The sequence below is a fragment of the Homo sapiens genome, chromosome 6 (assembly GCF_000001405.40).
Source record: "Homo sapiens chromosome 6, GRCh38.p14 Primary Assembly".
Lineage (NCBI taxonomy): Eukaryota > Metazoa > Chordata > Mammalia > Primates > Hominidae > Homo > Homo sapiens.
In genome coordinates, this window is record NC_000006.12 from 146,169,332 (window position 1) to 146,193,063 (window position 23,732).

Consider the following 23,732-nt stretch of genomic DNA (forward strand, 5'->3'; position numbering starts at 1 on the left):
AAACATATTTAGAGTAGTTGTTTTAATGTCCTTCTCTGTCTTGCCAGGCAGGCTTTCCACTGCAGTTTATGGGGTATGTGCTGTTCTCAGTGTTGTGTAAGTTCCAGGATTTGTTTGTTCTATGTTTTCCAGTGAGTCTTTCTCCCGCCTTAGATATTTTCTTCTCAGATATGTGTACATCAGAACTTAGCTAAAGACTGGAGGGAATCCCTCCAAAGATTTGTTTTTCAACCCACTTTTCTCCTTTTTGGTACTCTGTCCCAGTAAGTCTACCTGCTTCAACCTTCCCAAACTCTGATCCCTGTTTTCTTATTTTTCGCTGAATTTCCCCCGCCCTGTTCTGCAGCCTAGAGACTACCACCAGACAGTAACATGGGCAATTTGGTTCATCTCTTTGATTTTACTTTTCTGGAGAATTATAGTCCTATATTGACATTTATACAATGTCTGATAACAGTTGGTTCATATATTTTATTTCGTGTTCTAGTTGTTGAAGGCAGGAGGCCACCATTTCACATTCCTACTAGCAATGTATGAAGCTTCCACATACTAACCAAGGCTTGTTATCATTATTGTCCTTTTTATATAGCTATCTTAGTGAGCATAAAATGATATCTCACGTGGTTTTGATTTGTCTTTCTCTAATGTTTGTTTATCTGAGAATGTCTTTATTTCACCTTTAATTTTGAAAAATATTTTTGCTGGATATAAGATTCTTGGCTAACAACTTTTTTTTCCCTCCAGCATGGTGAATATGTCATTCAACTGTCTTTTGGCCTCTTTTGTTTTTCATAAGGGATTACTTCTGTATATTACTGTGGTTTTCTTTTTATATGATCAGTGGTTTTTCACTTGCTGTTTTCAAGATTTTTCTGTTTAATCCCATGTAACCATTTTTACTATGCTGAGCCTTAATCTTCTTGTGTTTATCTTACTTAGAGTTCATTCTTGCATATGTAGATAAAAGATTTTTCAGCAAATTTGGAAAGTTTTCAACCATTATTGCTTTAAATATTTTTTCTTCTCCTTTATCTTTCTCCACTTTTTCTGGTACTCTTTTTATATGTATGTTGGTACACTCACTTAAAGGTATCTCACATTTCTCTGAGGCTCCGTTCATTTTTGTTTTTATTGTTGTTCTATTTTCTGTCTGTTCTTTGGGTTTTGTAATCGTTATTGATTCACTCAATATTTCTTCTGCCAGTTCAAACCTACAGTTGAGCCCTTCTAATAAACTGTTCATTTTCTTTATCTTTTCAACTCCAGAATTAATTTTGGTCCTTGTTTTTTAATAACTTCTGCCTTTTAATTGATAGTCTGTATTTAATTAGACACTGTCATTATATCCTTTTTTTTACTTCTTTAAGCATAGTTTCCTTAGTTCTTTGAATATATTTATAATAGATACTTTTAAGACTTTGTTATAGCTGACATCTGGTCCATCTCACAGGCAGTTTTTGGTTGCCTGCTTTTTTTTTGCATGTATGTGAGTCACACTTTTTTTTAAAAAAATCTCATTTTTGGTTAAAAACTGGAAATTTTGTTAATATGTTATAACAATTCCAGATACTAATCCTGTTCCTCTTCTCTGGGGCTTGATTTTGTTATTGTTTATATTTTTTGTCTTGGGTAGATTATTTTATTGAAGTCTATTTTTTTGCAGTGTGAAATCACTTGAATAATCTTTTTTGAATTTGTGCTGTGTACTGGGGGCATTTTATATATGAGAAAACCATGGCTCACTGAGATTTGATGACTTATCCAGAGCCACTTACCTAGTCACTACAGCAAAGATATTCAAATAAAAATTTGTCTAGCTTAAGAGTACTCTCCTGTGTAAGTAGGGTACCATGTTGAAGGTTGCAGAGGAAGTATGTATTTATTTTCTGTTTTCTACTATAATAAATTACCACAACGTTAATGACTTAAAAATACAAAATTTTAATATTGAGTTCTGGGCCCTCACGTGCCAAAAACCACCTGGTGTGGCAACTGCACGCCACTCTGCATCCTACAGCGTGGATCCTCTGCATGTGCTTTTGGGAGATGAGCTCACTGAAATGGCCATGTCCAGTCAAGGACACTTTGAGGGAAATTTTGAGTCTCTGGATCTTGCAGAATTTGCTCAAAATCAGCCATGGGGGAATAAGATGTTTGGACAGGAATCTGGATCTCTGGCTAAAAAGTATCCCGTGACAACCCAGCTGTTAATTGGAAGCTTCACTAGATGATGCATGGAGTTCATATTCCAAAAGGTTGAAAATTGGCTGCAACAGCTGTGGGGGGGTGAATTTTTTCTCCTTCAGCTTGCAAGTCATACTGAGTACATCAAAGATGACTGGCAACAACTAGAGGAGGACATGAAGAAAGCAAAAGAACAGCTGAAGATCCATAAAAGCAATCAGATACCTACTAAGGTCAAGAGCAAAGCTGAGGAGGTGGTGTCATTTGTGAAGAAGAATGTTCTAATGACTGGGGAAATTTTCAGAGGTCTTCTGCTTGGCATGGCATCATAAGGAGGATGACCTCATTTCTATTGTTCTTGTTTTTTTTCCAGCCACCAGCCTCTATACTCCATCATAGGGCATAGAGCCCTGCCTCTTCTTTTCCCATGACTTCCTCCCTGCTGTGGCAAATCCAAATGGCTTTGGGAAGCATCTGTTGGTATAAGTTAATATGGTCCTACCTTGAGCTTGATGGTGGCAGAAGAGACAATAGATATTAGTTCTCCTTCCAGTCACTATTAAAGATATGCTTTACTCAGAAAAAAAAAGACAAAAAAGCTCTGGATGCCAAAAGTTTGAAATGAGTGTCACTGGGCTAAAATTAAGATATTGGCGTGCCTTTTCTACGTTCCTTGGATTGTAGAACTCTGCCTACATTCCTTGGATCACAGCCTTCTTCCTCTATTTTCAAGCCAGTAGCATTGGGCTGAGTCTTCCTCACACTGCCATCTCCCTTGTTCTCTCTTCTGTTTCCCTCTGCTACTGTTAATAAGCATTGTATTTACATTGGGCACACCTGTATAACTCAGGACATTCTCCCTAATTTCAGACCAGGTGAATAGAAACCTTTATTTTATCTACCACCTTAATTTCTCTTTGCCGAATGTATTCACTGGTTCCAGAGATTTGAGCATGGACATCTTTGACTGGCTATTATTTTGAGCAGAAGGTCAAAGAGAGGACAGGTATTAGTAGTCTGTGGAAAAAGCAGTATCTAGGAAATATTTGGTAGAGGAGTGAGGGAGCCTTAAGAGATTGGTAGATTGAGGGAAGAACTTGATAAAAAGTAAGAATCTTAAAGCTATATGAGGTGAGGGATAGCCAAGAAAGGTCTTAGCACAGTGATACTCAATGTGGGGTTGGGATGAGGGCACTATATTTCCACAAGGCAGCATATGAGTCTTAGAGGGTAGGTTAGTGGTCTGAAATTAAAACAGTATTTTTTATAGTCCTAGAATTTGTTTTTGTCATATTTAATGGCATTTGGATTTAAAAAATTGAAAAATGTATAACACTTTATACTTTTCACAGAAAGAGATAGGTTTTGGAAGAGTAGAGAAATACTAACTGATAAGTTGATCAGGGAGATAGGATCAGAAATAAATACGTAAGGCTGGATTTTGAAAAGAGAGGCGACATTTCTTCCTCTGACCCAGGAGAGTGAGCGAATGACTGGCTGGGTAAAAGTCTGGATGGACTTTGGTAATAAACGGATTCAGAAGCAGGTGTGCTGCAGTATGCAAGTTCTTTGACTGGAAAACTCTTGATTTTGGCCTGATGCAGCAACTCACGCCTGTAATTCCAGCACTCTGGGAGCCCAAGTGGGTGGATCACCTGAGGTCAGGAGTTCAGGACCAGCCAGACCAACATGGAGAAACCCCGTCTCTACTAAAAATAAAAAAAAATAGCTGGGCATGGTGGCGCCTGCCTGTAATCCCAGCTACTCAGGAGGCTGAGGCAGGAGAATCACTTGAACCCGGAAGGCAGAGGTTGCAGTGAGCCGAGACTGCACCATTCCACTCAGCCTGGGCAACAAGAGTGAAACTCTGTCTCAAAAAAAAAAGAAAAGAAAAGAAAAAAAAAAAGAAAAAGAAAAAGAAAGAAAGAAAGAAAAGAAAAAAAGAAACTCTTGATTCTTCCAATCCTATCATATCCCATCTCTTTTTGTGAATAAACTGATTTTGATGAATAGTAAAATAATTAAGAGCCACTGCCTTAATCATTCTAGACAGTAAAAATAAATAACTTCTCTCACTGATGGATGATTCCAGAGTTTTATCTAAATTCTGTGGAATGGTTGAAAATTGCAGAATAATTTTTTTCCTGAGGTTCTTTTTTTTTTTTTTTCGAGACAGAGTCTCGCCCTGTTGCCCAGGCTGGAGTGCAATGGCATGATCTTGGCTGACTGCAATCTCCACCTCCTGGGTTGAAGTGATTCTCCTGCCTCAGCCTCCCAAGTAGCTGGGATTACAGGCACCCGCCACCACGCCTGGCTAATTTTTTGTATCTTTAGTAGAGATGGGGTTGGCCAAACTGGTCTCAAACTCCTGACCTTGTGATCCGCCCGCCTTCGCTTCCCAAAGTGCTAGGATTACAGGTGTGAGCCACCGCACCTGGCTCTTCCTTGAGGTTCTTACTCAGAGTTGTAGTTTCAGTTATGTTTATGTCAGGTGTGCTCACATATTTGGAAGAATATGAATCCTTACTTGATATCTGACATCTTATCTCTAAGAGATAAATTTTATCTCTAAGAGATAAAAATTTCTATACATTTTTAAGACAACATTGAAAGTTGAAAAAAATCATGTCCTGAAAATTCAGTTTGAGAAATTTTTACTCTTTTTTCCTAGTGTTAAATTTTCCCTACACAGGTATATTCCCTGGAAATTGCTATAGGCATTTTTTTTTCCAAAAGGTAGACACAGCTTCAGGGATGTGTGGAAACACTACACAATAACTACTGGATATGACTTTATGGGCTTCTGGATTTAGCATTCCTTTCTAATAGAGAAATATGAATATTATTTTTTCTCCTTGCTCATCAAATATAGCACATTATATAGTTCTTAAATTTTACTCTAGTCCATGCCTGTGGGGATTTCAAACCTAGATAAGTGCAAAGGAGCTGGAATTGCAAAAATTGTGTCAGTAAAGAGGTATACTGTGTGTAGTTTGCTGGTATGTTTTGCCAAAGTAGAATATTGAAAATTATTATATCTATGTACTGAGTTTGGTCACTACATACTATTGGAAAATTTTATATTGTTATACAATCACTTAATTAAGCTTATAATTTCCGAAAGATAAACAAGAGCTCATTAACTATGTTTTGGGTTATTAGATTAGGAATGTTTACACTTGTATCCCCAGGGCTTTGTGCCTTGAATTTTCTTTAAAGAGAGGAAAGTCTTGGCTGAGGCTGACTTTCTGTGGAGAAAGACTTGTGAAATGCAAATGGTTTTCATCCATCCAAAATCTCATTATCTCAAGGCTCAATTTGGGAAAAACTTGCTTCCAAACTCATTCACTTTGCCATTGCCATGGCTCAGATTCTTGCTGGCTATTTGTTGGAGCTAACAGTTTCTTGCCATGTGGACCTCTGTGTGGGGCCAGCCCAGGTGAGATCTGGCTTCCCTGAGGTGGGGGGCGGATAGAGAGAGAGAGATCGAGAGAGAGAGGGGAGAACATCACAGTCTTTGGTAACTAATTGTGGAAGTGATATCCTGTTACTTTTGCCATATTCTATTCATTAGAAGTAAGTCACTAGGTCCAGCAATTCAAGGGGAGGGGAATGCACAAGGGAATGAACACAAGGAGGCAGGATCATCTTAGAGGCTGCCTATTATGGTGGTAGAAACAGACCCATAGTATTTGCATTTGGAAATCACTTTTTCTGATTAAATATGCTTGGCTGTTAGTCATTTTATAGTCTTGCTTTTAAAGCTATTATTCTAATGAGGTTAAAGCAGAAATCAGAATGAAAATTTTTCAATGACACCATTGGAGGACATACGTCCCTGTGCTAGTGTTATCACTTGAGTTTTCGAGACTTATAATAGATTCTTGTTACAACCTCTACTTTCCTTAAATGTCATCTATTTTAAAAGCTTCAGGTAAAGCCTCTCACAAGTTGTCTGGACATGTCTATATAGATGGTGTTTCTTTGCTGGGTTTATTGTGTTTTCCATGTGACTTTGAGGAGCAGTCTATGAAAAACAGGAGTATTTTGCTCTACAGAAGTTAGTTTTTCCTTCAAAATTGTAAATAGTAAGAATAATACAATACACATAAATACAAATGCAGGATCCATCTCATAAATCCAAAATATCCTCCTCTGGGTCATTGGAAGTTTTTCTTTTTAAAGTCACAAACTGGAGTTTTCAGGTCTTCATGCACAATTCATATGGTAAGGAAAAAAAAAAGATGTATATGCTATACCTTACTAGCCAGATGAGAAAGGCCCACCATCTTCCCTATAGTTGATAGGGTATGGGTTACATTAGGTTATAAAAATATATAGGTTGTATTTCACAGAGCTTACAATAATACTCGGGTTGTCTAAACCTGTATGTTATAATAGGCCATTGTGGTTTTGGGGAAACCTCTAACCCTCTTTCCTCACTTTAAAAGAGAGACAAAAATTCACTAACTATAGTAACTATCTCCTAAGTTATTCTGAAGATTAAATAATAAAATATAATCATGATAAGGGCACAGTTTTGTTTAGCTAGCTTTTGAAACCCTAGCGCCCTTTCAACAGTGCTTTAGGCTTCATAGGTATTCAGTTAATTCTTAATATCAAATAATGTGTCCAGTTCAGTACCTGATACACAATGAATTCTCAGTAAATGTTGACAATTGTGATTATTCAACAATAAAATAGATTTCTCTAGGTGTCAGCAAGGATCCTTTAACTGGCAATAGTCAAGCAGAGGTTTTGAAACACCTATTAGGAACTGGAAGGGATTAATAAATTAGGAAATTTATTGATGTACTTGACTTTAAGTCATGATGTGTTATAATTGCTGTTTCAGAATTGTTGGGTTAATATCTTACCTGTTTTTGAGGATTACAGTGAATAGCTGTAATTTGAATATCTCCCCATGAGCTTCTCTGGTCAATTGAGGTAAGGAAATCAGTAATAAAGACTCAGAGATCTTAACATACTAAAATTTTGGTTTTAGTGTGTTGACTTGTTCAAGAGTTCACTTGTTCAAGAGTTTAGTATGTTCAAGAGTTCACTTGGCTCTGTCTCCTGTAGAATCAACAGCTCAAAATATTTGAAAGGAAAAAAGAAGTCTGTAAGTTTTCCTTCAAGATATATTAAATATTGTATATTTTCTAAGCAACAATGAAGTTGTACTATTCTATACCAAAATAATTAGTTGATTCAATAAGTTCTTAGAAGAGGATTAAATCTTTTAACGAGGTTACTTCTCTAAATAAGCAATAAATTACATCAGATAATTACTCATAGAATAATTTTTAACTAGCATCCATAATAGAAATACCTGCATTCTAACTCCAGATTCCCCATTCATTACTAAGAGAACTTGAGTAAGTTACTTAACCTTTCTCTAAAGTGATACCAATATTAACATCTCTCATATTAGGGCTATTGCGACCTTTATGAAGAAAATGGAATTTAACTGTTTAACAGAATTCCCCTGCATGCCATTAGACCAATATATATTAGCTACACATTTTAGCCTTGTATTACTAAATGGACTCAGCCTGAGCTTTCTTTTCTTCTTTAAGCCTTAAGTATTTGGCTTCAAGTTTGTATCTCATTTTCCTAACAGAGGACCAGGAAAGAAAGCAGCAAAGTAAAGTAAGTGAGTCCTTTATGTCTGACCTTTAGTCCATTGTTTCAATATATGATTTCCTAATCTCAACCCAGGGGAATAACTAGAACTGACATGTATTCCCAGAGTGACTTCCTCTGACAACTCACAGCAGGCTAGAATAGAATAGAATAGGCTGAGTTAAAAATTTTAGATTATCTTCATTCTCTTTCTGCTAGATGTGTTCTGAAAATAGTTTGTACAAGTTAAGTTTCACTTCTTTCCTCTAGGATATTATTAAAGGTGTCTTTCTTTTAATTTGGCTCTCTTTGATTTTTTATATAGCTTAATATATGTATTTTTTATACTCAATGTTCTTAAATTCCTGGCATTCAGTTTCAGAGCTTTTAATCACACTAAAATCTGATATTCACGTTTGCAACTTTTTGAAGCTGGATAACTTATGAGTACTGTTTTGGAAAAAAATGAATTGCATTCCTTTCTCAGTTATCATTATTTAAATGGCATCTCTGCCTTCACTGAATTTTTTTTCTTTTGCTGTTGCTCTCATTAAATGCATTTTTGCAATTTGAGTTTGACCATTTCTTGTCTCTGCCTTGAAAAATGCATTTTAAAATTGTAGACAAGAAAAATGCCTGTGAAAGATCACAATCTCATAGTCATATAAGCACTTGCTCATCATAGGTCTGCAGAGATTATTTTTATAACAGGCCTACAGAACTCTTTATTCTGTGTATTAATTTGATAAATTTTACTTTTTAGATGAATTTTACTATTCTTGGATTTACAGAAAAACTGCTAAGATAGGTCAAGAAAGTTCCCCTATACTCAGCACTCAATTTCCCTTAGTAAGCTTTATTAACATATTTTATTAGTAGAGTACATTTGTTACAATTAATGAATCAATATTGATACTGCATTATAACAAAAGTCTATGTTTTCCGCAGATCATAGTTTTTACTTACTGTCCATTTTCTGTTTCAGAATACCACATTCTCTTTAGTTGTCATGTCTCCTTAGACTCCTTTTGGGTATGACAGTTTCTCAGACTTTCCTTGCTTTGATGACCTCAATAGTTTTGAGGAGTACTGGTCTGGTAGTTTGTAGAATGTCTCTCATCTAGCACTTGTCTAATGTTTTTTCTCATTAGTAGACTGGTGTTATGGATTTGGGGGATTAAGACCACAGAGGTAAAGTGCCATTTTCATCATATTATATAGGTTGAGTATCCCTTAGCTGAAATGCTTTGGGATTTTGAATGTCTTTTTGATTTGGGAATATTTTTTCTAAACACAATGAAATATCTTGGGGATGGGACCCAAGTCTAAACATGGAAATTAATTTATGTTTCATATACAACTTATACACATAGCATGAAGGTAATTTCATACAATATTTTTAATAATTTTGTGCATGAAACAAAGTTTGTGTACATTGAACTATCAGAAAGCAAAGGTGTCACTATCTCATGTCTTCTGCGCTCAATAAGTTTTAGGTTTTGGGACATTTTGGATTTTGGATTAGGAATGCTCAGCTTCTATCAACATGACTTATCCCTGCTGATATTGATGTTGAGCATCTAATTTTTATGTATTTTTTAAAATTTCTCATTTAGTAGCCATTCTTATTTGGATACCAAATGTCTATGCTTGTATATTCATGTTTGGGACTATCTGCCCTAGACCAACTTGTGTACTGTTCATTATGTACATCACCCACTGGCTGGCACTGCTAAGGTGAAGCTGGGTTAGGAACATCCCTGTGATTTAATTCAAAGATGTTAATCTACCCACAACAAGGCCTCTAATCTGGGCTGGTGGTATAAGAATGGGAATCGATTTTAATGCCTTGGAAGAGAGTCCTGTGAGAAATAGACAGTGGTCAGAACCCAGACATATGGACTTTTTGTCCTGGAAGTAATCCATTTTCAGATAGGAAATACAGAGTACCAGACTATAAACCACTGGCGAATCTCAAATATACAAATTGGGAGAAAAGGGTATATTGAAGAAAATAAATCAACACTCTCACGTGCACATGTGTTCTCAGGACTAACACTGACTAGTGCAATCCAGACCTAAACAGCAAGATTCCTTTCAGATCCCACTACCTAAAATGCCATGCCCCCGCTGGAAAAGATAAAGTTTTACTTCATCTTGACTTTATCTTGATTTTGAGCTTGCAGAGAGATGACCTTATGACCCCAGCCAGCTAAGCCTTTGGAGAAGGAATGGGTGGGTATCAGTGTAGGGTCAATTGATTGAACTTTCTGCTCATTCATTTATATGAGAGAAAATTAAAGGACAGTGTGCCTGTTGTTTAGATTGTAGAGTCAGTAAGTAGCATGCCCAGAATTAGAACTCAGAACTTTTTTTGTTTTGTTTTGTTCTGAGACGGAGTTTCGCTTTGTCGCCCAGGCGGGAGTGCAGTGGTGCGATCTTGGCTCACTGCAAGCTCCGTCTCCCGGGTTCACGCCATTCTCCTGCCTCAGCCTCCCAAGAAGCTGGGACTACAGGTGCCGGCCACCATGCCCAGCTAATTTATTTTTTGTATTTTTAGTAGACGGGGTTTCACTGTGTTAGCCAGGATAGTCTCGATCTCCTGACCTTGTGATCCGCCCACCTCGGCCTCCCAAAGTGCTGGGATTACAGGCGTGAGCCACCCTGCCCAGCCCAGAACTCAGAACCTTTAATTTTTTTTTGTTCTTTATTCCTTCATCTTTTAAGAGTTTGAAAAACTCTTCTTTTCCCAGCACTTTGGGAGGCCGAGGCAGGAGGATTGCTTGAGTCCAGGAGTTCAAGACCAGCCTGGGCAACACAGGGATACTTTGTCTCCACAAAAAAATGTAAGAAAAAAATTAACTGGAGTATGGTGGTGTGCACCTGTGGCCCCAGCTACTAGGGAAGCTGAGGAGATTTGCTTGAACCTGGGAGGTCAAGACTGAAGTGAGCCATGATCACCTAGGTGACAGAGCAAAATCCCAACTCACCAAAAAACAAACCAAAAAAACCAACCAACCAACAAACAAAAAACTCTTCTTAAAAGATTATCTGTATTTTTCTATCATTTCTTAACTTTAAGTTTATTTTATGCAGATATTAACTTCTTTTAATATTATAGACCAAACCATATAAGAGATTTGCTAGATTTTGTTGCTGCTAGTGTTAGGTACCATATTTTCCAATTAAAGATAGTTTATTTTCACTGACAATATGAAGTAAAACTAAGATTTGGTTTATTTCTATTGTTTATGCAAGAGGAAAAGTTATCTTAACTGATTTTTACATAATGAGGTTATACTTAGATGATTATCTCTTTTAAAAGCAGAGGAACTTTTTTTTTCATCTTTACAAGTTAGAGCTCTTGGAGGAATAAATGTGAAATATATATTGTGTGGAGTGATCGTTGATGAAATTCCTTCCTGATTATTCTATTTAAGAAAGAACTAAACCTTTTCTTCTCTTTGTCATATAGGTTTTGCAACCTTGATCATTTTTCTTTTTTCTTTTTTTTTCTAAATCCAAAGGGATTGTAACAACCAAATGTCACGAACTTAAACTTTACTAAAATTGGTTTTCTTCATAGGACTTTCATTAGCTTCTCATGGTTTACTCTTTCCAACCCACAGCCTGGTTTTACTTTTAACACACTGCACTTTAGGTTTAAAATGTTCTAATAAAATAGTGCTTCTCTAATATGTGACTTTAAGCAAAGTCGACTCTTGAATAAGAACTCACTTACAGCAAATATTTTTAAAAGCGGACCTTTCTGGTTAGCTCTAGGTATAATGGCAGGAGATATAATCTTAGTATAACTAGAAATAACCTCAATGTGATAACACACTTAAAACCCATAGGATTATGAAACGTATAATTATAAGAGAAATTCTGCTGAGGAGAATTTGTGCCAAAGAAGAGATGACACTATTTTCACTGCCCATCAACTGAGGATAATTGGCAATAACACACCTCAGGTACATAAATAGATTTGCAGTGCCCATGGATAACATGCATTTCAGCAAGAGACTGCTGTGAATACGAAATGAACTTGGAAAGAGGCTAGGAAACTTGAAATGTTCACACATAACTTGCCACCTTTAAAAAAAAAACAAAAAAAACCACAACAAAAATCCACAAATTCTCCAAAGAGTAATGGTGAGAAATGAAATGTCTGAGGCACTGAATAAGGAAGTCTTTGTGATAACTTCAGTTCACTAAATAAAATATGTCCTATGCCACCATCCTAGGATATGAACATATTCAAGATTAGGAAGAAAACTCAAAATAACTTTCAATCTTCAAGTGAGAAAAGAACATTTCAAAAAGAAGATCAAGGTCCTTAACTCCTTATTGTATTGAATATAAGTTCACTCTGCCATGATTACTGTTGTATTTTGAATATACCTACAGCACTTGATCTATAATTGTCACTTAATATATTTTGTTGAATGACTTCAGAAGGAAAATATTGATAGAGAACTGAATTATGGCATAATGTTAGAAATTCATAGGTTGATCCAAAATATTATTATAGCTCAAGCTGTCAATTTCTCCTTTCTTTCGAATAACTAGCAAGTAGGGTACTTTTGTCTCCTTGTCGTTTGTCAATGTACTAAGGACTAAGTGCCTGAGTCTATTACTAGGTAAGAAAGAGAGGTGAATAAATATGGGATCAGAATGATTAACAATGAAAATCAATTAGTAATCATTTTTCAATAAGATTTATTAATTATAAGCAGGATGAAAGCAATATAGTTAATAAGAGCATACAAAAGATTATTCTTGGAACACACAGCAGTGGAATTTTAGGGATGTAAAATAAGAGATCATTAAAAAGGAAAAGCAATTGAGAAAGGGTAGTTATTTTATTAATAAAAAAGTTGTGAAAGGTTATGTCAAACATTTCCACAGCTTACCTAAGAAGTTCTTGTTTTACTGAAAGTAAAGGAAATGGATTGGACATAACATGAAAATTATTGGCCTATTTTGTTAACCTTTTCATCCACATCTCATGTACACAGAATATAGCTTAAAAATTATTTTGTGGTGCACTGTAAGCTTTTACAACACAGGGTCTGCAAACAGATTTATTTCATTAATAAGAAGGAAAGACAAGAAGCTTGATTAGTAGATTGTTTTTTCCTCTAGCAAATTGTTTCTCTTTGAAATACATTGTCTAGAGTTATTTTTAGTAGAATTCTAAACGACAGGTGGATGAAACTTTTTCTTTTTTGAATTTGTCTTGATTGCAAGAAATTATCTAATTTCATCCCTCAGTTCCCCCCAAGTCAGTTACAGCTGTACATGCAGTGCTATCTGAATTGGAAATATACTTCAAAACTCATTCATTTGCATGTCTATTAGGAGAACAGGCAAAATTCTAATGACAACAATTACTTGCCCTTTCCTGATGCTCTTTAAATAAAGTACTTTGCAAACTGTACATAAATTTGCCTTAAAATGTTATATTACCCATACATAGTACATTCTCACAAAGACTTCTTAGGTTGGATAAATGGAGTGCTACCTCCATCACTGCAGATTTGAATACAAGTTATTGTTGTATTTTTTTTCTGGAGTGGAATGAGATGCAGTAATTTACAACATGAAACAAGACATACATACTGGGGTTAAGTCAATAAAACATTCCACTCATGTTTTCTTTGAATAGAGACACTAGCCAAAGATCAAATATCCTAGATAAACTGAGTATTAATATTTTCTCATAAAATTAGTAACAGAAATACCTGCTTTGTCAGGTATTTGTTGAATTTGTTCAATTTGTCAGGTATTCTATGAATTTGTTCTTAATTCATAGAATTAGGGTATGAATTTAGTTACTACAGTAGAAATGAAACTAAAGTAACAATCTGGAGGCAGGCAGTTAAGGGCTGGTAGGACAGCTCTACCTCATGAGGTCTTCTAAGATTCAGGCTCCTTCACATTTGTCATTCCATCATCCTCTCTGGAGTTGTTCTCATCTGCAGGGTTCAAGATGGCTTACCATATCATCTATCGTCTAGTCACTGGAAAGAGAAAAGGAGACAAGTGGAGACCTCCTTCCTTTAAAAGAAGGACATGAAAGTTCTACATATTCATCACTTCTCTTCACATCCTGTTGACAAGAACTTTGTTATAACATGCCACATTTAGCTCCATGAGAGATTGAAGAGTTTATTCTTTCTTTTGGTTGTCCATGTGCCCAACTAGGAACTCTTATATGTTAAATAATTCTCCTATTATTTAACAATAGGAGAATAAATTTTGGGAGACAACTGTCATTTTCTGTTCCACTTCCCAGCTCTTAGGATTGTGGTGAGGGTCAAATAAAGTGACGGAGGTAGAGGAGATATATTAACTGATAACACAGTAAAGTAAAAATGGTAGTTACTAGTCCTGAAATCAGCTACTAGGACCTGGGTGGGAACACAGCTCTGAATTTTAGTTTCTATCTATAAAAAGACGGCCAGAATAGATGATCTCTATGTTCCTTTTCCATGCCTTGTATTATGATCTTAAAGTTCTTTGTGTCTTTCTTAAGTAACTGTGCGATTCTCCTCTAGAACCTTCGTGTATAGGCTGATTGCTTGGTTTTATGTTGTCTAATTCAGGTACATTTCTCTCCTTCATCAGTTTCTGCTCCTTAGTCTGACTCCTAATGTTGGTGGTTCCAATATCTACCCTGACTTCTATCTCTTGCATATGGCATAAATCCTCATATTTTTCTAAGTTCTTTGTGCAGTTTCTGTAAAGATAGGAACACAGCTGAAAACAGGAAGATGTATCTCAGGAACTACAGCAATAATCAGGCCACTTAGTCTGTAAATCACACTTGGAGTGGGCAATTAACTAGGTCTCCTCCCCACTGAGAACCCTGAAGCATTGTAAAATGTAGGACCTGGAACACTGCTGGATTTAGCCAGGAATTCAATATTTAAATGGGTCACCTCGGACATATAATAGCACTTGCCAGATGATAAAAAAAGGTTTAACAGTATGATCATAAATCTTGGGTCCAGCCTGGGCACTTGGTTTTTCCCTAACTTGTTTTAAATCAGTTTGAAAAAGACAGAGGGGGAGATAATTATGATCACAGAATCTTTGAATCAGAAGAAAATATAAAGGTCATTTCACTTAATTTCCCTCCAGAAGAAGCACTCTCTCTCCAACTTCCCAAACATGTTTATTCTATTTTTGCTTGATTGGAAACTCACTGCCTTCTGAGACAATCCATTGTTCTATTGTTTACAATACTGATAAATTCTCTAATTGTGGCTGATAAGTTTTTTCTGTTTTTTTTTAATTAACTATCTGTGGATTATCTGAATGGGCCTCATGGACTGCTGTGATAATATACTAAATTTTATTCTCCTTGAATCAGAGTTTCGTTACTTAACACTAAAATGCCGGCATGAATTCAGTACCATTAACTAAATTTTTATTGAGTCCTGTGGTAAGCAAAGCACAGATTTCCTATACCTCTCTATCTTGTATTAGTCTGATAGGCTATGCTATGCTGCAATAAAAAACAATCTTAACATTCTAGAAACTTAAATCGATAAACATTTATTTATTTTTCATGTTATATATCATCTCAGGTGTGTGGGGCTCTGCTTCATCTCATCCTCATGCAGGGATGTAGCCTGATGAAGCCTTCATGATCAACAAGATTGCTCTTTAACATAGAGACAGGAAAGGAATGTGTCAGAGTATTTCCCTTAAAAATGTTTACCTTGAAAAGACTACATAGTTTCCACTCACATTTCCCTGGATAAACTTTATTTTATGGAAAGGAAATGAAATAGTACCATGTGTGCTGAAAGGTGGAGAACCAGAAATATTCATTCTCCAGTAAAATGTTAGTAACAAACATGTAATATCTGGTCAACAAAAGGTCAGCTTATTTTTATTTCCATGCGCACAATACATTAACCTCTTTAAAAAGGAGGTAACCCAAAAGTACCACTGAGTGACAGCACAAATCTTCTAAATCATGACATCTGGATGATATGCAGTAGCCTTAATACCAGGTCTGAATATAACCCTTTTTGATCTGAACACATATGAATTAAAAATGTACATTAACTTCCTCTCACAGTCCAATATACGCTGACCAAAGTAGAATAGGATAATTTGAATAAACATTCCACTTTGGAAAAAGAATAATAAAAGAACATGGGGCTAGTCTGGCCTAGAGCAATTGTGCTGTGCCATACAGCCAAGACTGTGAAAGCTGCCTACCTTGAGGTTGAGAAATATTCCTTGCACAGACCCTGATTTGGCTACCTGGGAGTAGCTCCCTTGTCCTCTGCTCTCTGTGACCCTCTGAAAGATTCCTTCCTTTCTGTTACCCTTTGTAGGCATCTCTGAAAAACTGGTATTGGAAAATATGCCTTCTTTCAGGCCTGGGCAGCTTTCCACATCCACTTTCTGCTTACAGATGACTGACAGCTTAAGGATTAATTTAAACCCAGATTAGTGACATTCTCTTTCAGTCCAGATTGGTGATTTGTGGTGATTTGGGAGTAAAATTCTCTGAAAACTTTGTGGGTGTCCTACCTATTTGATTCCAATCAGCGTTTGATGCTAGCAATCCCACCCACAGTTCTTAAAATACATTTCTTAGGACAGCTATATTCTGTAATTTTCTTATCCACATATCTCTAACTATTGTCCATTGCAGATACTTTGAGCCACTTAGGCTTAGAGAGAGTAATACCATTAAGCTCATTTTCTGGGACACATACCTTTAGTTAGATCTCACGATGAGATACCTTATCCACTTAGTGCTATAGACATACTTTTTTTTCTTTTTTTTTAAATTTTGAGACAGAGTCTTGCCCTGTCACCCAGGCTGAAGTGCAGTGGTGTGATCCTGGCTCACTACAACCTACACTTCCTAGGTTCAAGTGATTCTGCTGCATCAGCCTCCCGAGTAGCTGGAATTACAGCTGGTTTTTTTTTTTTTTTGTATTTATTTTCATTTTTATTTATTTATTATTATTATTATGTTTTTTAGTAGTGACGGGGTTTCACCATGTTGGCCAAGCTGGTCTCGAACTCCTGACCTCAAGTGATTCACCCACCTTGGCCTCCCAAAGTGTTGGGATACCAGGCGTGAGCCACCACACCTGGCCTATAGATATACTCTTAATATGACAATTGCCTCTAAGACTGATTTTACTTTGCCTTTGTTGTTCAAAGACTATGAATTTTACATTTTTGCTGTTTGGGCTGGAAATCAGTTGTCTCTGTATTCCTGAATTCAAGGACACAGATTTCTTTTTCATTCTTGATTCCAAACCATTTTGTTTTCTGACCAAATTTCTTATAATCCCTTGCCAAATGCAGCCAATAGCTACCTACACAACACAGATACTGTTTCTTAGCCTCTTTTCTAAGAGTCCTGAGTTTACTGGGTACATGATCTGTTTACCAACTTACTAAAGGTTAACAGTTTTACTAGATGTTTTCCTACTGCTTAACTGATAACAGTTTCTTCCCTACGTACTGCTTAATTGCAAAGCCACAGATCATAGTTTTTTTTGTTGTTGCTACAGCTGTCTCCTTTTCTTGTACAAATGTCTACATCAATCAAAATGTACTAAATTAGTTTCTGGTAACAAACACCCACAACATTTTAGTGATTTAAACCCACAAAGGTTTATTTGCTGTTCGCACTATGTGTCCATTGGGCTATAGGGGTTATATTGTACATTGTCCTAACTCAACTGTCTAAGAAGGGAGTTTTCCTATTTGGAGTGCAACTGGGAATTATGGCAGATGGAAGGGAACTTTAAAGGTCTCTACCTAGAAATAACAAATGTCAGTTATATTTACCTTTTATTGGTCAAAGAAAGTCACATGGCCACATGTGATTTAAAGGGAAGAAGAAATGCAATATTACTATGTATTTAAAAGAAGGAGACCTAGAAATATCGGTTATCAGCATTAAAGACTACCCTGCTTCTTTTAATTTTGATAAAAGATTGGTTGATTGTGTTTAAAGTCTAGAAGGTCTAAAGCTCTGAAATGCTAGTGTTTGCACAGGTAACAACCAAATGTGATTTCATTATTCAAATGTCTGTAGGGCTAGAATATATTAATCAACTATTATAAAATATTTATATAACCATATAATATCTGCTAAATTTCAGAAGAAAAGATGAATCCATTATAAAATAAATGAAGACTGCATCAAGAATATTTACTTGCTAATACAGACAGAAGGTGTTTTGTTTTCCAAATGAGGACATTTATAACTCATACCATATCACGAAGTTTTTGATCAACTAGAATTTGCTTCTCATTTTCTGCTAATCCCCTTACTTGTATGAGAGGTATGCATTAAGGCACATTTATAAAGATGTCATTTAAGTGTCTTAGAACTTTTAGAATTTGTCCATGGCAAAAGATCATATTCTTTTGAATGATCTATGGTACCCATCAATGCACCAAGTAGAGGGGAGGCAAAGACATATTTCACGGACAACAACAAAAATGGATGTTCTCTTATTACTGGGTTAATTTAATTGAAATATAATTTATATTTGCTAACAAACAAGAAGAAAAATATCTACAACAACTAGGCACAAAACATATATATATATATATAAAATTAGCTATTTTGCTTTTTTATAAAACAACACAAAAAACAAAAGAGTAAAACGATACAAAAGATGCCAAATGAATAGATGAGGTTTTGGAAATAATTTTCTATAATCGGTAAGAACAACCAGGCAAATGCAGCATCTCATGAGGTCTAGTAGAATAGTTGTTTATTTATTATTATTTATGTTCTATTTACTGTTAAAAACTGAATATCCAGTTGGTAAAATAGCAAGCCTTTGTCCTGTGCAGAGAGCACTTTCTTTTTAAAACTAAGGTTCATTATGTTTATCTCTGCACATAATTATCACAGTCATTTAAAGTGTTTCAAAAAAGGATTAATTTTTCTCTTACAGCTACCATACATTATAGAATTAATGGGAATCTCAAAAACCCCTGTGGTCACTGTACCACTGAGATGTCTGAAATAGCCTTTTCTCTGATTTTCTTTCTTCCAGGCATCTTTTCTTTCAAATCCATCCTTTATCCTACCGTTAAATCATTCTGTCTACACATCTTTTTTTCTAAAAATCCTTTTTTGTTAATATGAGTTCAAGACAAAAACAATTTTAATGCCCTATTTTTTGTAGCATACAGTCTAGACCTCTTGTAGTAGCACTCAGGATCCTTCACAGATGTTACAATCATTGCTTTTCTCTTCCAAGAGAATGGCAATTCTCTATTGCTACCTCAGTTGCCACAGGCATCCCCATTTCTGGACTGAAATATTGTACCTTCCCTTGCAATTTGTACTAAAACTTAAAATCCAAGAAGACTCCCATGAATATTATCCTACTTTTAAATGTTAATGTCAGAATGTTTAATTCTCCCCATACCCCAATAACTTAAACATGCCCAATTATTAAGTAATGAGATGATTTCATAAGCCAAAGAATACATTTTTAAATTTCTTCACAGGACCAAGCTTACAGTGAATGCTGACGAAACGTTTGCTAGTTTTTTGACCATGTAGCATTGGCTTATTTTCCATCTCCCAGCAAATTCATAAATTAGCCACAAAATTAGACTACCCATTTTAGTTCCTCATTCTCTAGAACCAGAAACTCTTTTAAATCTAGAACTTGCTGCCTCACTTCCAAACAACAGTAGTAGTTACACATTTCTCTTTTCCCTGGCTTTCTGCCCTCACGTTTTTTATCAGTTTTCTTATTTGTTGATTCACAATCCAATTGTTGAAAACATAGTCTATGCTAAGCTACTGTGCTAAAAGCTGGGAATGGAGAAACTATCTCCTCCTTAAAGAGTCCATAACGTGGTTGAGAGAGAGAAGCTAAACCAATATGCACAATAATGTTATGAGTGTTTAGACTAAAATACAGTTGAGTATAATGGGAAACATTTGAAAGCAAAAGAATTCCAAAGCTCCTACTTCTTAATTGTTGATTTTTTCCCTAAGTATCATTTTCTTGTTGTTTCACATCATTAAAGAAACTTTTTCATTCCTCTTAAGCCTTAAGATCCTTGATCTGGTTCCTATGCAATGGACTATTTTTCCTGTTTTCCTCAGTGACCTGGCCTGCTTTTTGCTTTCTGTGGCATTCCCACCAGCTTTTTGAGCCTCGCTCAACTCTGGGTTAAGCCACTATGACATCCTGCTGCTTTTTCCATCTGTCTATAAATTCTGTAGCAATTCCTATTCTGATTCTAAATATGAGCCTAATGCAATGAGTGAGTTGACTTCTTCGACTCTCTTGCCTCTGAACTCTTTTTTCATGTAATGCTTTCTATAAGCATTCTGGTCTGTCGACCTGAAATATTGACACTCCCACTTTCATATCATTATCATTATGCTTCACATGTTAGAGGTCTTTATATATCCCAAAGTCATTTACATTCTCCTCATTAATAAAAACCTTCAGTACAAGTGAAGATAGGCACTTGATTGCAGTGTTGTAATTAGTAGGAGAGTTAGGATTTAAATCCAGGTGTTCTGATTTTAAGCTCCATGAATCTACCACATTCTCTGCAGAAGCAGCGTCATGGCTCTCTCCACTACGATTCTATCTGCTGTGAAAACCTTCTCTAGACATTGACCTTCCACCGAGGTAGCATAAATCTTTCTTCTGCTAATAACACATATAATTCATGGATATATTTTAACTAATCAAAATCTTCACTGTTAAATAAAGGAAGGGAAATCCCATGGTGCCAAAGTCAAAGGGAAATTTAAAACCAGAATTCTATGTTACAGTGTTTTGCTTTGGCAACTCAAAGATGGGAGGGCAGGAATGTTAGATTAAGTTCGGGTATAGGGCCTTGGAGTTGTTGAGTGGAGTTCAGTATCCACTGGGGAACAGAATCTGTGACCTTGGATTCAATTGAAGAAATGGGAATGAATAACCATGCTAAAGCTGGACCTTTACAAGAAATGGAGTAAGAGAGGAAGTGGGGAAAATTTTCACATCTGCCTGAGAAGCACCAAAGAACTTGACTCTACCAAAATCCTAGGTGGGAAATAAAATTTTCCAGTGAAAAGCTGAAATCCTAGGCCAGAGCCACAAATAAGCATGGAGTCTGAAGTTAGTTTATAAATGTTTTGTTAGACTCCTCAAGCCAAGCTACTAATTTTAAAACATTTTGAACTAGTAAACATCCTGGGAGTGTTAAGAAAGCAAAGATGAAACAATTATGTAATAACCAAACTGGGGTCCATGAGATTCTTAAGGGAAAAAAGTTTCACTAAAAATGAGCTCATGAGAAAAAGTAGAAAGTACACGAGGCGATATCACACCTTGAGGGAGTTGGCCAACACGAATTCAGGAGGAGCAGCTCTCTCAAAACGAGATTACGGAACAGCCACAAAGAGGCTGGGTAATATTTACTGCACAGTTGAAGTAACTTAAAAAGTAAAAAGAGGAATAGAATCACAAATAATAAGAAAAGACAATTTTTGGTCACCATGTTTTGTTGTTTTTACCTCTTCAATGGTTTTTTGGCTCTGTCTCCTCATCTCCATCCGTATTGCCACTACTTCAGTTCAGGCCTTCATCATTTCTCATTTGGATTACTGCCACAACCTCCTAATTGACTTTCTTGGCTGAGCATTGCAATTTTCTCTCTCCCCAATCTTGTTTGTATTCCCACTTGTTCTTCACATTGCTATATCAAAACACATCACCCCTCTGATTTACGTATTATAGGCTGATTTTAGTCTTTGGGATGTAGTTCAAGCTCCTTGGAATTGTATTCATAGCTCCTTAAGATTGGACCCTAGACCACCTCTTCAATATCATCACACAGCTGCCTCATCCTCCATGCACTTGCCATTCTCTCTCTCTCACCTCTGTGCCTCTGCATGCTCTATCTCTGCTGTTTGGAAAGGTCTCCAAGTCTCCTTTGCCTAGGTCAGTTCCCCTTTCAGGAAGCTTCATTGATTCATCTTCTCCACAGCCTCTTCCTTAGTCTGGATTAGGCTTCTTGCCATCGTGCCCCCATTCCTTTCAGTGTCTTCTCTGTCATGGCATTACCATGGGTGTCTTGATGGTCTGTGGACCGGGGTGATCCCTACTGGATTGTGGGTTCCTTGAGGGCAAGGACCAGGTCTTGCTTGTATTTGCTTCCTGCACATTTGGCATAGTGTCTGGCACAGGTGATGAAGCCTGTGCTATTAGTGAGTGAGGTGGTTTACTGGATGGTTTCCTCTTCGGTGATTCCTCTCTGTTTAACCCTCTTACTGATTTGATTTCCAACTTAAGCTGAAGCCTTTCTCAGCTATCTTTCTTAAGTATTAAAAGTGGATTTGATTTGCTTCTAAGAATCCTCCATCCCTAGTTTCAGGGTCACATCACTGTCCCTTTATGATCATCTACAAGGGGTCACACTTGACAGTTTTACCTAAATAATTACATAAAGGGAGAAAATATTGAATCCTTTCTGTTTTCTATCTTGTTTCTTTAATTAATCTTTTTGTTTTGTGTGATCTCTTTTGCTTTTCCCAATTTCTCTTCTTTTTTTCAGATATTTTCTTCATTCCCGTATCCATCTTTGGTTGGATCTTTTCTGTTTCCTTTCTTTCATGCTGACACTAAAAGCAATCTATCACCTTTTGTTCTTTCCTGTCAGTCAATCTCTGGTCCGTGACAGATTAACTTTGACAAGTTTTTGTGCTGAATATAAATGGTTTCTCTCTGTGTTTAAAAGGGAACACACAGCACACAAACAAGCTGGGGAAAGGACTATTTATCACATAAGTAGTTGGAAAAATTGGGATAAACATATTGATCTATTGCAATCTTTTGTTTGTGCTAAGACCAAGTAAGTAATTATTCAGACTACTTACTAACCTCCTCACAATTTAAGATTGCTTAACTTTCAGTGTAAACAAATTTTATTGTGGTCTAAGACAATTTCCAAATGCTAGCGTTCACTTATTGAAAAGGGGAAAGTCTGTGGAATAATAATGTTCTGCCATCCTCCTTTTAATGAGAATGGTTATGGTAACATTTTGAAATAAATATGTCATAACAACTATATGACAGTATGTTGAAATAGGATAAATGGGATTATTATCTGGGTTTACAATTAGCATAACCAAACTGTAGAATAATAATGGGACATACATGGAGGAAAATGTTACCCTGGTTAAAGAAGCTGGGCACTAAAATCTACACAGCTGGGTCAGAATTCTGGTTCTATAATTTATTAGGCACTTGGCCTTATACAAAACCTCAGGTTCCTCATATGTCAATTAGGCTAAGGATTAAAAGGAACAATGTATTATTTAGCATGAATTCCTGGCATATAAAATACCCGATATATGTAAGTATGAAATTAAAATAATGATTGTCGTTAGCTTATCTCTCTCATCCTCCTGTTCCCTTCATTATTGCCATCCAACTTAAATGCCTACTTTCAAAATTCTCACTATTCTTACTCTTTCTAAACCAGTAACCAGCACATTTAAACTGTGTTGTGACCAATTAGTGGGTTATGAAGTCAATTTACTGATCTTTATTTTTAAATGTAATACAATAGAAAATATTAGAGTGAATTGTATGTACTAGCAAAAAGTATTTTTGTGAAACTTTTTAGTTATACATATGGTCTGACTGACATTTTAAACAGGCTTTTCTGCCTGCTATATGGACTGTGGGCTCTAGGTGGGCACAGCTGGAAGAAGGAGCTTTTACTATCATCCAAGTGAGTGATTGTGAGGAAGATGACCGGCATAGAAGAAATAGTTGTGGGTGAAAAGTGGCCAGATTAAGGATAGAGTTCATGGTAGAGGCAACAGGTTTTGTTAACTACTGGATGTAAGGTAAAAATTTTTTGTTGTACCAAGCGACTGGAAAAAT

The 23,732-nt window shown here is 36.1% G+C and overlaps 1 protein-coding gene and 1 pseudogene across 7 annotated transcripts in view; both read left to right on the plus strand.

Moving 5' to 3' along the window:
- The window catches only part of GRM1 (glutamate metabotropic receptor 1), a 409,895-nt gene that overhangs the window by 141,625 nt on the left and 244,538 nt on the right, over nucleotides 1-23,732 (plus strand). The gene's annotated exons all lie outside the window — the stretch shown is intronic.
- On the plus strand, nucleotides 1,954-2,738 carry FUNDC2P3 (FUN14 domain containing 2 pseudogene 3; annotated as a pseudogene).